The 15,460-nt window shown below is 42.0% G+C and overlaps 1 protein-coding gene across 6 annotated transcripts in view, besides 2 other annotated features; it reads right to left on the bottom strand.

Moving 5' to 3' along the window:
- Positions 1–15,460, bottom strand: part of PTPRG (protein tyrosine phosphatase receptor type G) — a 736,039-nt gene that overhangs the window by 576,232 nt on the left and 144,347 nt on the right. The gene's annotated exons all lie outside the window — the stretch shown is intronic.
- Positions 5,364–5,863: an enhancer, noted in NCBI's record as "H3K4me1 hESC enhancer chr3:61701189-61701688 (GRCh37/hg19 assembly coordinates)". NCBI's record gives its function as "activates a minimal SCP1, AML or CMV promoter by ChIP-STARR-seq in primed H9 embryonic stem cells {active_cell/tissue: H9 hESC(primed)}" and the evidence as "EXISTENCE:reporter gene assay evidence [ECO:0000049][PMID:30033119]".
- Positions 5,864–6,365: an enhancer, noted in NCBI's record as "H3K4me1 hESC enhancer chr3:61700687-61701188 (GRCh37/hg19 assembly coordinates)". NCBI's record gives its function as "activates a minimal SCP1, AML or CMV promoter by ChIP-STARR-seq in primed H9 embryonic stem cells {active_cell/tissue: H9 hESC(primed)}" and the evidence as "EXISTENCE:reporter gene assay evidence [ECO:0000049][PMID:30033119]".

The following is a 15,460-nucleotide window of genomic DNA, read 5'->3' as shown; positions in this document are numbered from 1 at the left end:
ATCTCTACTGGAGGCACCTGTAACCCAAACTTCTAGGAAGCCACTGTATCCTTGAACTCATCATCAAATATCAAATGGTTAACAGCACAATCAAAACTGATGATACTATATTACTTAAAGCGCTAAAATAGTTCAGGTTGCAATTCTAATGTAGTCACCCACCTGGAACAGTAATCAATTCTCAAGTAGTACCAGAGAGTGGCCAGTGACCAGAAACAGAAATGTACAGTAATTCCAGCTAGGGAAGAATCAACACTGAAGGGTAAAATTTGGTGCAAATTTATTATGCTTGGTTAAATTTACAATGCAGTTGAAAGGCAAGAAGAAGTTAAATAATCCTGTAAGACAATCACCAGAGAGATGTCTGATTAAGTGCCAGCAAATAGAACAGACAATAAATTAAAATTACAAGCAAGAAGAGTGGACTTAAAGACATCACAGCTAAAATACTTACATAATCAAGGCCAACGCAGCAGAAACAAGTGACAAATCTAATCGTCTAAGTTATAATGGCCAGTGTTTTGCCACTGGATAATATTTCTAAAGCCTCTAACTGCATTTTCCATTGGCGGGGATTAATCCATCAATGGAGGTCAGCTTTAGAAATCTAGCTACATCAGAAATACAGGTCTCTCTTCCAGTATTATTTTAATGTACTCAATCAATGTGTACTTTGCACCTGCCATATCCTGCACATACAGCAGTGAAATAAACTGACAGAAGTTCTTGCCATCCAAACCTCATCTATGATATCAGAAGTCAGGACGGTAGTAGCCCTTGAAGTGGGAAGAGGGGAGCATGGGGAGACCTTCGGGAGTGATACTGTTTTTTCATCTGGGAGTTGGTTACATGGCTGTGTTCAGATATTGTGATTATTCATTGAGCGGTTCACTATAATGCATGCATTTTTCCACATGCATGTTACAATTAAATACGAGTTTAAAAATTCCCGTTGGCCGGGAGTGGTGGCTCACACCTGTAATCCCCACACTTTGGGAGGCCGAGGCAGGTGGATCACTTGAAGTCAGGAATTCAAAAGCAGACTGGTCAACATGGTGAAACCCCACCTCTCCTAAAAATACAAAAATTAGCTGGACGTGGTGGTGCATGCCTGTAATCCCAGCTACTCGGGAGGCTGAGGCAGGAGAATTGCTTGAACCCAGGAGGTGGAGGCAGTGGTGAGCCAAGATCCTGCCACTGCACTCCAGCTCCAGCCTGGGGGACAGAACAAGAATGTGTCTCAAAAAAAAAAAAAATTCCCTTGTCATCATGGTGTTTACCCCCTAAGCAGGACGGAGGAGGGATAAATAATGAACAAGATAAAGTAAAACATATAGAATGACAAATGGTGCCCAGGAGAAAAAAAGTAGGGAGAGGACATAGGACAAGTCAGGACTGCACTGTAAAGTGAGCAAGAGCGGCCAGCAAAGGCCTTAGGAAAATGTGACATTTGAGCAAAGACTCACAGAAGCAGTCAAGAGCAAGTTGGGTCTCAGAAAAGAACGTTCCAGGAAAGGGGAGAGCAATTACAAAACAGTGAGGCACAAGGGTGTCTGGGAAGTGTGAGGAACAGCAAGAAGTCCAGGGTCGCTAGAGCAGAGTGAGTGAGTGATGATCAGACTCAACCTAACTGTAAGCCCTGCTTTTCCAAACCCCAACCACACATGGCCTCAATTCAGAGAGACTTCAGAATTGATTAACATAACTTCTGGGAGGAAGAAACAGGATGAAGGATTGAGAAAACGGAAAAGGGAGGGTAAGGAACCATAATAGGAAAGGGCCAGCCACCAGTTAGGTTTATTCCACCTTCTCCCTGTTCCCTTTCTCTGCCACTGCCAAGCCTGCTGACAAAGACACCACCGAAGGCTGTATCACAGAGGAAAACTGGCAGTGGGGAGACCCGGGAGAGCCAAGAGTCACTACAAAGGACAGAGAGGAGGGGCACATCCCCTGAGTATGCACTCCCCACACACTTTAGCAAGAAAAGACCTCGACACCAGTCATCCCCACAACTCCCAGTTAGAGGCCCAAGGCGCAGGGGCTTGATAAATACTTGAGAACACCTGCAGTCTTCTCTGTTAATTAAAAAAATTAAGCCCAGGGCCTTTCCTCGATTACATCTTCATAGAAAATACAAGTCAACGAACAAATTCCTTCTCCCAAATTTCTACAATTCATATCCAATTGCCATTCTTCTCTCTCCATTGTAAGATCGTACAGTTTCACAGCAGGCAAAGCAATACAATGTCTCATGTCTGGAATCCTTGCTGTTTGGGAAAGCTTTTACAAGAGGAGAAGTGGAAATCCTTGCCTAAAATGAGGTTTGGGAATTTCTACTGGCTTTTAGTGAGCCAGGTGATGGCTGGTATATGTACCATTCTTGATGGATTGTTGGGGACAATCCATTAAGTCAACAAAGCTATAAGAGGTACAAATTCAATGTCGATTGTTTATCCCCTTTCAACTTAAGAACCAAACTCCAAATTCACTGTGTGTGTGGCAATTCAATGACTCCTGGGAAGTCAATAGCATTGAACTTCATGCTTCTATTACAAATGGGAAAGGACTAGATGAGGGCAGGGCACCAGGCCAAAAAGGTTATCAAAACCTTTCTGCAAAGTCCAATTCTATCCAGCGAAATCATCAGCCTGTCTTATGAGTCTCTGGGCCACTTCAAGTCCCTGGTTTCTAATTGCTTTAAAAAAGTTACTAAGTTACAGTAGCACAGAAGATGGCACACAGGCTGCTTTTGGAGATACGGTTTTTCCTGATTTTGTTTCAAAGCAACAGAGACACAGGCAAAAACCTCCTTCTGTGCTTTCTGCTCACTCCCATAACTAATATAAAACAGTCTCAGATTTTAAAACTAACGGATGGTCACATCACAATGTCACAATGTCACATGATTGTGTAGTCTTTTAACCCGCTGAAGCCAAGTATGTGTTAAAGTGGATCCACACCTTCTCCAGCATACAGTTTCAATCAACCTGGCATTTTTCCATTCATTTCTATGGACCATCACAGCTTGTTAAAATGAAAATTAGCTAAGAATATAAAATGAATTTTTAAAACTAAAGCAATGTCAATGATCTAACAAATTCTTCCCTGAATGAAGTTTCCAAATCTGTCTTGGTTCTCTGAGTCTGCGTTTTTTTTTTTTTTTTGGTTTTTGTTTTTTTGTTTTGTTTTGTTTTGTTTTAGACAGGGTCTTGCTCAGTCACCCATGCTACAGTGCAGTGGCATGATCTTGGCTCCCTGCAACCTCCACCACCCAGTCAAGCAACTCTCCTGCCTCAGCCTCCCAAGTAGCTGGGACTACAGGTGCCCGCACCACCATGCCCGGCTAATTTTTTTATTTTTAGTAGAGACAGGGTTTCACCATGTTGGCCAGGCTGGTCTCAATCTCCTGACCTCAAGTGATCCACCCACCTTGGCCTCCAAAGTGCTGGGATTATAGGTGTGAGCCACCATACCCAGTCGAGTCTTAGTTTTTACAAAGCTATATGTCTGGGTGAAACAGTAGCTTAATATGTTCTAATACCTACAATAAAACACAAATCTTTTGGTATTTATTTTTATTTTTATTTTTAAAGACAGGGTCTGGCTCTGTCGCCAGGCTGGAGTGCAGTGGCTCAAACTCAGCTCACTGCAATCTGCAACTCCCAGGTTCAAATGATTCTCCTGCCTCAGCCTCCCAAGTAGCTGGGACTATAGGCACAAACCACCACGCCCAGCTAATTTTTTTTGTATTTTTAGTAGAGACGGGGCTTCACAATGTTGACCAGGATGGTCTCGATCTCTTGACCTCATGATCCGCTTGCCTCGGCCTCCCAAAGTGCTGGGATTACAGGCATGAGCCACCACTCCTGGCCCACAAATCATTCTTTATAGTAACACCTACTAGTTCTCCTTCAAGTAAAAAAAGTGTATGTGTATCAATTTACTCATTGTGGGAAAATACAAGAGTGATTTTGAGGCAGAGACCTCTCAAGTTCTGGGTCTATTGCCTTTGGCTATAAAAACTCAGTCCTTAGTTTCCTCATCTGTAAAATGGGAATAATAACAATATGTACCTCAAAGGGTTAGGGTCAGGATGATGCATTGCATATAGGAAGCATGAATAAATTGTAACCATTACTATTATTGCTACTATTTTTCTTTCCTGTGGGCATTCAGAGACTAACCACACAAGGCAGAAAAAAATGGCCTGTATGGACTATTTGACTTCAAAAACATAAAAATCTTTTACAACACGTGAATCCATGAAACAGCTATATAACAATTAAACAAGAGCATCAATATATCTTTTGCAATAAATACTACTAGAGTTTAAGACAAAGAAACAAGTCACCATAATTGGTTATGAAGCCTATGTCCCTGGGAATTTTTATTTTTTATTTTTTGTTGACATGGAGTCTCACTGTGTTGCCCAGGCTGGAGTGCAGTGGCACGATTTTGGCTCACTGCAACCTCTGCCGCCCAGGTTCAAGTGATTCTCCTGCCTCAGCCTCCTGAGTAGCTGGGATTACGCGTGCCTGCCACCGCACCCAGCTAATTTTTGTAGTTTTTAGTAGAGATGGGGTTTCACCATCTTGGCCAGGCTGGTCTTGAACTCCTGACCTCGTGACCCACCCACCTCGGCCTTCCAAAGTGCTAGGATTACAGGCGTGAGCCAACATGCCCAGCTGGGAGTTTTTATTTAAAAAGTAAGCAAGTATTTTTACCAGGTAGTTTAAGTACAGTTTGTATTTTAGCCCTAAAATGCTGTGACTTCAGGACACTTCATAACCCAACAATAAGAAAAGATAATGAGAGAAAAAAAGAGTACGCAATGGGGACACATAAGATGAGTAATAAATATACCACTTTCTTTATAAAAAGGGACAATAATTTCTTTATCCATGTGTTCCTGACTTAAATATTAATAATCCAAAATGCTTCCAAAACAGATTGTTATCCCACAGGGTAGATGATCTTGTGTTTTGTCTTTGCTTTGTAATAAGAAATTGATTTCTGTCTCCTAGTTGAGATACATCTTTGATAAACAACAAAATTCACTGTCTTAAGATATTAGGACTCTATGGGTAAATTATTCATGAAAAAAATACATTAAATTACCACAAAATAGCACTTCAGAGGAAGAAACACACTTCTGCAGAGTTCAAGATGACGTTAGAGGAACCTCAGAGTTGTGACGTGATCCCCAATTCTGGGGAAAAAAGCAAACAAACCATTCCCTAAAGAGTTATAAAGGAAAGGGGCGTGGCGGTGGCAGTGAGCTGAGAGCTTAGAGCCATTTCTGAAGCTTCCCTGTGATTCTGGATGCATTTCAGTGTTCCCAGCACCCTCACCACAGGAGACCCTCTCCATCCAGTATGTCATTATGCTCCTCTTATGTCTAGGAGAGTACTCTACACAAAGCAGTGAGTACTGACTCTGCTTATCTATCCAGGGACTAATAAATACAGAGTTAGCACTCACTTCTTGGATGGTAGAGATTTAAGGACCAAAAAAAAAAAAGCCATTGGTGGTAAACTAGTATGTACCCTATTCCATTTCTAATCTGGAGACCACAGAGGCGTGTGATCATGTGTCATCATCGTTGTCTTTTACTTCTTTCCTGTTTTCTCTATTTTGGTTGCTCAGAATTCATCCCTCATCCTCCCAGCAGCTTCATTTCTTTTTTGGAAATCTGTGCCCCCTCCACTGCAGGCAGTTAGGCAGTCAACCCAGCTGCACTCACTCCTGCTCCAGGAACTGGTGGCCAAGAACCCAGGGCCTTCCTCCACCCAACCCAGTAGAGTGAGGGGGCAAGACATACGATCTGGGCCTTGCCAAATGGACAGACACCTTCCTGAGGGCCAGACGCGGTGGCTCACACCAGTAATCTCAGCACTTTGGGAGACCAAGGCAGGTGGACATCTTGAGCCCAGGAGTTCAAGACCAGCCTGGGCAACATGGCGAAACCTGGTCTCTACAGAAAAAATACAAAAATCAGCCAGATGTGGTGGCACACACCTGTAGTCCCAGCTACTAGGGAGGCTGAAGTGGGAGGATGGCTTAAGTCTGGGAGGTGGAGGCTACAGTGAGCCATGATCATGCCACTACACTCCAGCCTGGAAAAAGACAGGACAACCCTGACTCAAAAACAAACAAACAAAAAAATAAGCTCCTTAAGGAAGAAAAAAAAAAAACAAAGAAAAAAAAAGCAAGCAGGAGATGATTCTCTCTGTAGCAGAAGCTGTACCTATGACCAGACCATCCCGGCTTTAAGTATGCTGTCCTCTAGCACTCACTTCCCAGCCTCTGGAATTCCTTGCCCATGACCAGCAATGTTTCTTCACTTTGCCTCTCTATTCTGGGAGCTTCTGTAAACTTCCAAAACACTTCAACTGAGTTACTCAAATTTGATTGCTGTTTGTGAACAAAAAATCCAAAGTGACTCTTGCAAAGAAAAAGACAGTGATATATTTATCAGGATTAGACTCAGGTACCAGTAATGGAAAATATCAAAACAGGAGTAGCTAAAACAAGATACTTCTTGTAACTTGTAACTTCTCTCTACCATTAATACAGTTCAGAGGTAGGGAAGTCTGGGATGGTGGGACATTTCACAGTATCAAGGCTCACGTGGCGCCTCTGAACAAATGACAGAAAGGCAGCCCTCCTGGTGGAAGGAGCCCTGCAAGTATATGGTTTAGCAAACATATGATCCTTTTGTGGAAAGTAAAAGGCCCCACCTTTCTCTAAGAACACAACTTGAGAAAGAGCCTGGATTGAATCTCAGCCCCTAACTCCTTCCCTCAGTAGCAGACTTTTCTGCAAGAAATACTCTGTACATCTGAGTATCTACAGCTGCCAGACTGCTTCTATCTTGTGGCTCTCCCATCTTCGGCACATAGTACCAATCTCGTGGTCCCATCATGGCTGCTTAAGATCCAGCCATTGTATTCACATTCCAGCTATCAGGGAGGAAGAACAGACTAAGGACATGACCGTCTTCCACTGAGGAAATGTCCTAGAAGTTGCACACTTAAACCATGGCTAACTACAAGGGAGGGTGAAGGCTGGTCTTTATTCCTCGCAGCTATGGGCCCACCTAGAAAAACAGGGCTTCTATTATGGAGAAATAATAGAAGACAATCAGCAACCTCTAGTCCACCATGCAAGGTTCAGTTAATATACTTGCATAAGACTAAAGATAGGCTGTGGCCTCTCCTTGAGGTTTGCAGAAATATGGCACAGTTGACATCTCACAAAATATATTAATAGTCATAGAGCTCATATTTTAGAAAGCCAGAAAAGACATATTAGAAAGGATTTTGGAGATCATTCAGTTCAAATCTCTCATTTGGATATTAATGTTTCATAACATATATCACTTTGCACAGATATGTAATGCTGTATTTTTAAAATACGGCATTATCGTTCATTTGTAACCTAGCAATCTCTTTGTTAATTATTACAACAAATGCTTTAATGCCTTTTTAACATTTAAATCACCCATGCAATTAGCACAATGTCTATTAACAAATGGAAATGGGCACATAACTTGTGCAGGCCATCTAATAAGAGTGTGGATGCCTCATTGCCACATAATAGATAAGGTGACCACCTTCTACAAACCAAAAATTGGGACACGCTGCCTGCCACACACAGGATGATGTTAACTGCTGAATGCTGCGGCCAGCACGTAAAATCTGGGACTGTATTTAACAAGCATTACCTTTAGAAAAATCATATTATATTAAATTTGGGGGAGGGCTAATAAAAATTGGAATAACCTGAATTTAAGGTCCATGGGGAAGGGGAAGGGTATTTTATCTGCCTCATTCTCTACTATAATCCCCTTGCCTAACAAAGGAGGTTACAACACATACAGAGGCTTAAAATTATTTGATGTTTCAGCCCGGGTGCAGTGGCTCATGCCTGTAATCCCAGCACTTTGGGAAGCCGAGGCGGGTGGATCACGAGGTCAGGAGTTTGAGACAATCCTGGCCAACATGGTGAAACCCCGTCTCTACTAAAAATACAAAAAAAAAAAAAAAAATTAGCTGAGCGTGGTCTCACGTGCCTGTAATCCCAGCTACTCAGGAAGCTGAGGCAGGAAAATCACTTGAACCAGGGAGCTGGAGGTTGCAGTGAGCCGAGATCGTGCCACTGCACTCCAGCCTGGTAACAGAGTGACACTCCGTCTCAAAAAAAAAAAAAAACATATTTGATGTTTCAGATAATCTGTCAAAACCCTGATAAGACCCTATAACTCTGAACCCAAAGACATGCATTTAGGAGAAACTAGGAAAAAATGAATAAAACAAACAACAACAAAACATGGCTGATGAAAGGGGGTACTTGGGATGCCAGATAAAAATTCCTGAAGTTGGTATGTTACTAATACCATGCCTACAACCTACCCCTCCATGAACATCAAGAGAGCTCATTCTCTTAATCTTGTCACCTCCCACTGTGTACTGACTCAAAAAATGTCAACATACCATTGATTACAATGTCATATGCAGAAGCTGCTATATATGACCTTTCATGCATGTTTTTGTAGTTTTGCTCTAGATAAAAGTATGCATAAGCAAAAGAAGATATTCCTTTGAGATAGATGTATTAGTCCATTCTCACCGTGCTATAAAGATATCACCTGAGACTGGGTAATTTATAAAGAGAGGAGGTTTAATTGACTCAGTACCGCACGGCTGGGGAGGCCTCAGGAAACTTACAATCATGGTGGAAGGTGAAGGGGAAGCAGGCATCTTCTTCACAAGGCAGCAGGAGAAGAGAGAGCACAGGGGAAGCTGCCACTGTTAAACCATCAGATCTCATGAGAACTCCCTCACTATCACGAGAACAGCATGAGGGAAACCTCCCCCGTGATCCAATCACCTCCCACCAGGTCCCTCCTTCGACACATGGGAATTATATTCCAGATGAGATTTGGGTGGAGATACAGAGCCAAACAATATCAATGGGGAAGAAAGGGATATGGATGTTTAGGAACTTGCCAATTCTCCAGTGTTCTCTCTTTAAAAAAAAAAAGTCTTAAGCCGCTGTGACAAGATATTAGCATCTGTTAAATGTCTCATATATTTTTTCTATATAAAAATTTTACATAATTCAAATTTGTAAAAATAATCGATGGCAGTTAAAGGACAATTTTTTAAAGACTATAATAACAGGCCGGGCGCGGTGGCTCACACCTGTAATCCTAGCACTTTGGGAGGCCAAGGCAGGCGGGTCACCTAAGGTCAGGAGTTCGACACCAGCCTGGCCAACATGGCGAAACCCCGTCTCTACTAAAAATACAAAAATTAACTGGGCATGGTAGCAGGTGCCTATAATCCCAGCTACTTGGGAGGCTGAGGCAGGAGAATCGTTTGAACCCAGGAGGCAGATGTTGCAGTGAGCCGAGATCACACCATTGCACTCCAGCCTGGGCAACAAGAGTGAAACTCCGTCTCAAAAAAAAAAAAAAAAAGACTATAATAACATCACTAACTTTGTATCTGATGGGCCATATCTTTTTCCAGAGTAAAACTTTTCTAATGTTTTAGAGACAGACAAATGTAAATTCATGTGGTAGCCATGGGGGAAGGTGAAAGCTGAATGATACGCAAGTAAAGAGAAAACTTGTAAATTTGTTTAAGTTCCTTGTAGATTCTGGATATCAGCCCTTTGTCAGATGTACACATTGCAAAAATTTTCTCCCATTCTGTATGTTGCCTGTTCATTCTGATAGTTTCTTTTGCTGTGCAGAAGCTCTTTAAAAAGTGGGCGAAGGATATGAACAGACACTTCTCAAAAGAAGACATTTATGCAGCCAAAAAACATGAAAGAAAGCTCATCATCACTGGTCATTAGAGAAATGCAAATCAAAACCACAATGAGATACCATTTCAAACCAGTTAGAATGGCGATCATTAAAAAGTCAGGAAACAACAGATGCTGGAGAGGATATGGAGAAATAGGAACACTTTACACTGTTGGTGGGAGTGTGAATTAGTTCAACCATTGTAGAAGACAGTGTTGTGATAACTCAAGGATCTAGAACCAGAAATACCATCTGACCCAGCAATCCCATTACTGGGTATATACCCAAAAGATGATAAATCATTCTACTATAAAGACACATGCACACATATGTCTATTGCGGCACTATTCACCATAGCAAAGACTTGGAACCAACCCAAATGTCTATCAATGACAGACTGGATAAAGAAAAAGTGGCACACATACACCATGGAATACTATGCAGCCATAAAAAAGGATGAGTTTATGTCCGTTGCAGGGACATGGATAAAGCTGGAAACCATCATTCTCAGCAAACTAACAAAGGAACAGAAAACCAAACACTGCATGTTCTGAGTCATAAGTGGGAGTTGAACAGTGAGAAGACATGGACACAGGGAGGGGAACATCACACACCAGGGCCTCTCTGGGGGCGGGGGGCTAGGGGAGGGATAGCATTAGGATAAATACCTAATGTAGATGATGGGTTGATGGGTGCAGCAAACCACCATGGCACATGCATACCTATGTAATAAACCTGCACTTTCTGCACATGTATCCCAGAACTTGAAGTATAATAATAATAATAAAAAGAAAGTAAAGAGAAAACTATATGAACAAGGGTCTAAATCAGAGGTATCCAATCTTTTAGCTTCCCTCGGCCACACTGGAAAAAGAAGGACTGTGTCTTGGGCCACACATAAAATACACTAACACTAACAATAGCTAATGAGCTTTAAAAAAAAAAATGCAAAAAAACTCATAATGTTTTAAGAAAGTTTACGAATTTGTGTTGGGCCTCATTCAAAGCCATCCTGGGGTACATGCTGCCCTGGGCCACGGGTTGGACAAGCTTGGAATGATCTGGGGCCACTTACTAGTCAAGAGACTAAGAGAAGTTTCCTCTTATATCTAAGCCTTCGTTTACTTACTTTTAAAATGGGGCTACTATTATCTAACCTCATAGAACTATTGTACGCACTACATGGGATTCGACATGGAAAGGGGTCTAGCACAAAGCCTGGCACATAGTGAAATATCAATAATTGATGCTAATTATCATCATTTAAATAAGGAAGAGATTTAAATATAGATCTAACCACATTTAAGATTAAAACATGTAAGCAGAAAAAGCTGAAGTTCTTTCATACTAGCTGTTTCCATTTTCAGACAGCCACTTCCATCATACTTTAAATTTCTTCATCATCAAAACAAAAGTTTTCCGTGCTTAGTGCATGATTTTGTCAGGCAACAAACCTATGGCTCAAACTCAAAGGGGATGCTACTACTACCAATAACTGGAGTGAGACACTCTCACAGTAACTTGGCAAACACCCGGAAGTACTGGTTCACCCTTCTAGCTCAATGTTACTTCTAGTGTGGTCCCAGGAACAGCAGCATCAGCAGCACCTAGAAACGCCAATTCTCAGGCTCCAACCCAGACCTTGGGAATAAGGCCCAGCAATCTATGTTGCATCAAGCCGTCCAGGTGATTCAGGGCCCTACTAAAATTTGAGAACCACTGGCACAGTGGTTCTCTTGCACAGTGAAATTTGAGAACCACTGGCACAGTGGTTAATTTGCACAGTGAAAAGGCTTCTTTTCAGTCTTGGGAAATGAAGGAGTAATAGTCAAGAGGAGGCATTGCAAAATTTTTCCATACACGGCTAGATAGTAAGTATCTTAGGCAAGAAGTAAAGTCAAGATTAGGTAGGTATTTATGGAACCATTTAAAATGCAACCATTTAAGGCGGGGAACGGTGGCTCACACCTGTAATCCTAACACTTTCAGAGGCCAAGGAGGGCAGATCACCTGAGGTCATAAGTTTGAGACCAGCCTGGCCAACATGGCAAAACGCCCTCTCTACTAAAAATACAAAAATTAGCCAGCTGTGGTGGTGCATGCCTGTAATCCCAGCTATTCGGAAGGGTGAGGCAGGAGAACCACTTGAATCTAGGAGGTGGACGTTGCAGTAAACTGAGATTGCGCCACTGCACTCCAGCCTGGGTGACAGAGCGAGACCCCATTTCAAAAAAAATAAATAAATAAAATAAAAAATAAAATGCAACTGTTTAAAAATATGAAAACCATTCAAAGCCAATAAGCCATATATGGCCAAGAGTTTTGGGTCAGGCTGACATGTCACACGCATTAGCTGGCTTACACTCTTATCAGCTGTATCCCCAGTAGGCAAGCTCTACCTCAGTGGCCTCATCTGCAAAATGGAGACAACAATACCTCTGACTCAGTGGGACTGTGGGAAGGATGAAACACAAAAAGGATTAAAGCACAAAATGATCCAGCATAGACATGCATAGTGCTGAAATTAACATACCTGCAGCTAGCTGCATTGTTTTTACTGTAATCTTACTACCAGTGTTTGCTTCCTTCCAACAGACTTAGAATCCAAACCGGCCAAACCTTGTGACATTTTAAAAATTAACCTGTTTGATTTTGGTTTAGGGCAAGTGCGCCCCTGAAAGGCTCTAAACCACCTTCACAGTCACATGAAATATAAGTTTCCAAAATATTTTTCAGGAATCCAGACTGGTATCTTCCATTCAGAAATAAAAGTTTATGCATTGCTCAATTTAAGATTTGCAGAAAGCCAGGCGCGGTGGCTCATGCCTGTAATTCCAGCACCTTGGGAGGCCGAGGCGGGCGGATCATGAGGTCAGGAGATCGAGACCATCCTGGCTAACACAGTGAAACCCCATCTCTACTAAAAAATTACAAAAAAATTAGCTGGGCGTGGTGGCAGGCGCCTGTAGTCCCAGCTACTCAGGAGGCTGAGGCAGAAGAATGGCATGAACCCAGGGGGCACAGCTTGCCCAGATTGCGCCACTGCACTCCAGTCAGGGTGACAGAGCAAGAGAGCGAGACTCTGTCTCAAAAAAAAAAAAAAAAAAAAAAAAAAAAGATTTGCAGAGAGCCCAGTTCATTAGGGAAGATATAAGAAGTTTTGGTGAGCTAATGATCCCCCAGTTGGGCTGTGAGAAAGGTGCCCAGTGTCCTCATGCTCCTGAGACACTCCTGGAGGCAGGTCACTGCTTCCATCATGACTCTAAAACATCATGCCCTCTTCACTAGTACAGAAGACCAACTATTCAAAGTTGCCCTGACATAGTGACTCAATATTTTTTTAATGAGCTTAGATCACCAGTTGGCTGAGATGTGCAGAAAGGACAGTCCTTTCATACTTTGTTAGTAGGAGCAGCACAAAGTGACACAGCGTTCCGGGGAGGCAAATATCCCTAAAAAATAAAAAAAAAACTACTGGGTGTGGTGGCTCACGCCTGTAATCCCAGCATTTTGGGAGGCCAGGGTGGGTGGATCCCTTCAGCTCAAGATTTCAAGACCAGCCTGAGCAACATGGTGAAACCCTATCTCTACAAAAAATACAAAAATTATCTGGTCACAGTGGTGTGCACCTGTAGTCCCAGGTACTCGGGAGGCTGAGGGAGAAGAATTGCTTGAAACAGGGAGGTCAAGGCTGCAATGAACCATGTTCACACCACTGCACTCCAGCCTAGGCAACAAAGGGAGACCCTGTCTCAAAAATAATAATAAAATAGGCATTAAAAAATAAAAATATCCTTAAATACTATGACGGTAAAGTTTATGTGTCAACTTGACTGGGCCAAGGTGCCCAGATATTTGGTCAATTCATTATTCTGGGTATGCCCTGGAGGGTGTTTTGGATGAGATTAACATTTGAATTGATAGACTGAGTAAAAAGCACATTGCCCTCCCTAATGTGGGTGGGATCACCTAATCAGCTGAAGGCCTGAACAGAATACAAAGTCTAACCTTCCCTGCTAACAAGAGGTAATTCCTCCTGCCTGACTGCCTTAAAGCTAGGGCCACATTTGTTTCTTGCCTTTGGACTGAAATAGAAAAAAAATCAGCTCTTCCTGGGTCTTCAGCCTGCTGGCCTTGAACTAGATCTACACCATTGGCTCTCCTGGGTCTCCAGCTGGCCAACAGGCAGATCTTGGAACTTGTCACCCCCCATAATCCGATGAGCCAATTTGTTATAATAAATCTTTCTCTCCATATAGATCCCGTTGGTTCTATTTCTCTGGAGAACACTGATGAATACAAATACTAACTAAACTTCTGTGCATTTAATCATAGGTAAAAACGCATATATGCATGAGGATGCATATGCTACTTTTTTCACTTCAGCATTATTTGTAATAGAACACAACCATGAACAGCTACATACTCCATAAACTATGAAATATTTATACTATGGAAAACTATGCAGCAGTTATTATAACAACAATAAAGACACTATCTATGGAATGACCTGTATAGACTTCTAAGAGATATTAAGTAGAAAAAAGAATAGGCTAATAATATGAAAATACCATTCATGGAACATGAAAATTAGGTATTTCCCCATATGTAAATGCACAGTAAATGTATAAAATTCACAGCAGTTATCTCTGAGAGGAAACTGGAACTAGGAGGGGTAGGTTAAGCATGTTTCATGTATTTTTAAGTTTTTTCAAACTTCAATGTATTCATATATTGCTTTCTAGTTAAAAATAATAATAATAATAATACTGGCCGGGCACAGTGGCTCACCCCTGTAATCCCAACACTTTGGGAGGCTGAGGCGGGTGGATCACCTGAGGTCAGGAGTTCGAGACCAGCCTGGCCAACATGGTGAAACCCCATCTCTACTAAAAATACAAAAATTAGCTGGGCGTGGTAGCGCCTGTAATTCCAGCTACTCGGGAGGCTGAGGCAAGAGAATCGCTTGAACCCCGGAGGCGGAGGTGGCAGTGAGCCAAGATTGTGCCATTGCATTTCAGCCTGGGGGACAAGAGCGAGACTTCATCTCGAAAAAAAAAAAAAAAAAATTACTTGCACATTCAGATAAAAATCAAAGAAAGAAAATGAGTTAATGTCATTTCTGCAATTCTCCAAAGCAAGGAATTTGGGCTGTTAGCTTTATACATGTTATAAAAAAAAAAATACAGCTTCCTTTACAGATATTATCTCACTATATATGTTCCAATTATTAGTAAGAGAAATAGGTCAGAGTGTTGCTTTAAGTTGCAGATGCAGCTCACATTGGGCACTTACTCAATGGGACGGCTCCCAGTTGTATTCTGTACATTTTCCCAGGTTCTTTTTTTTTTCCCCCCCAGGGTATTTCTGGGTTTTTCTTTTTTTAGTGATAGCCCAAAATTTTAAAAGCTCTCTTTAAGGCACTGCAAAGTGTCGATAGATGGCAAGCATTTAATCCTGCCTGCATTACTGAAATCACATTCCTCATAATCAATCATTTTTCTGCAGACCCGAAGTGGGGAGGACACTTGGGGGACTTGCTCTTTATACAACATAACTGTCCCTTAGGGCACATGAAAACAGAACAATATGAAACAAGAAGCAGATGGGAGGCACAACATCTTAGGGGAAATCGGAGTATGC

This window comes from Homo sapiens, chromosome 3, assembly GCF_000001405.40.
Source record: "Homo sapiens chromosome 3, GRCh38.p14 Primary Assembly".
NCBI classification, from domain to species: domain Eukaryota; kingdom Metazoa; phylum Chordata; class Mammalia; order Primates; family Hominidae; genus Homo; species Homo sapiens.
Note: the sequence above shows the minus strand (reverse complement) of the source record. Positions and strands in the feature narration are given on the sequence as shown.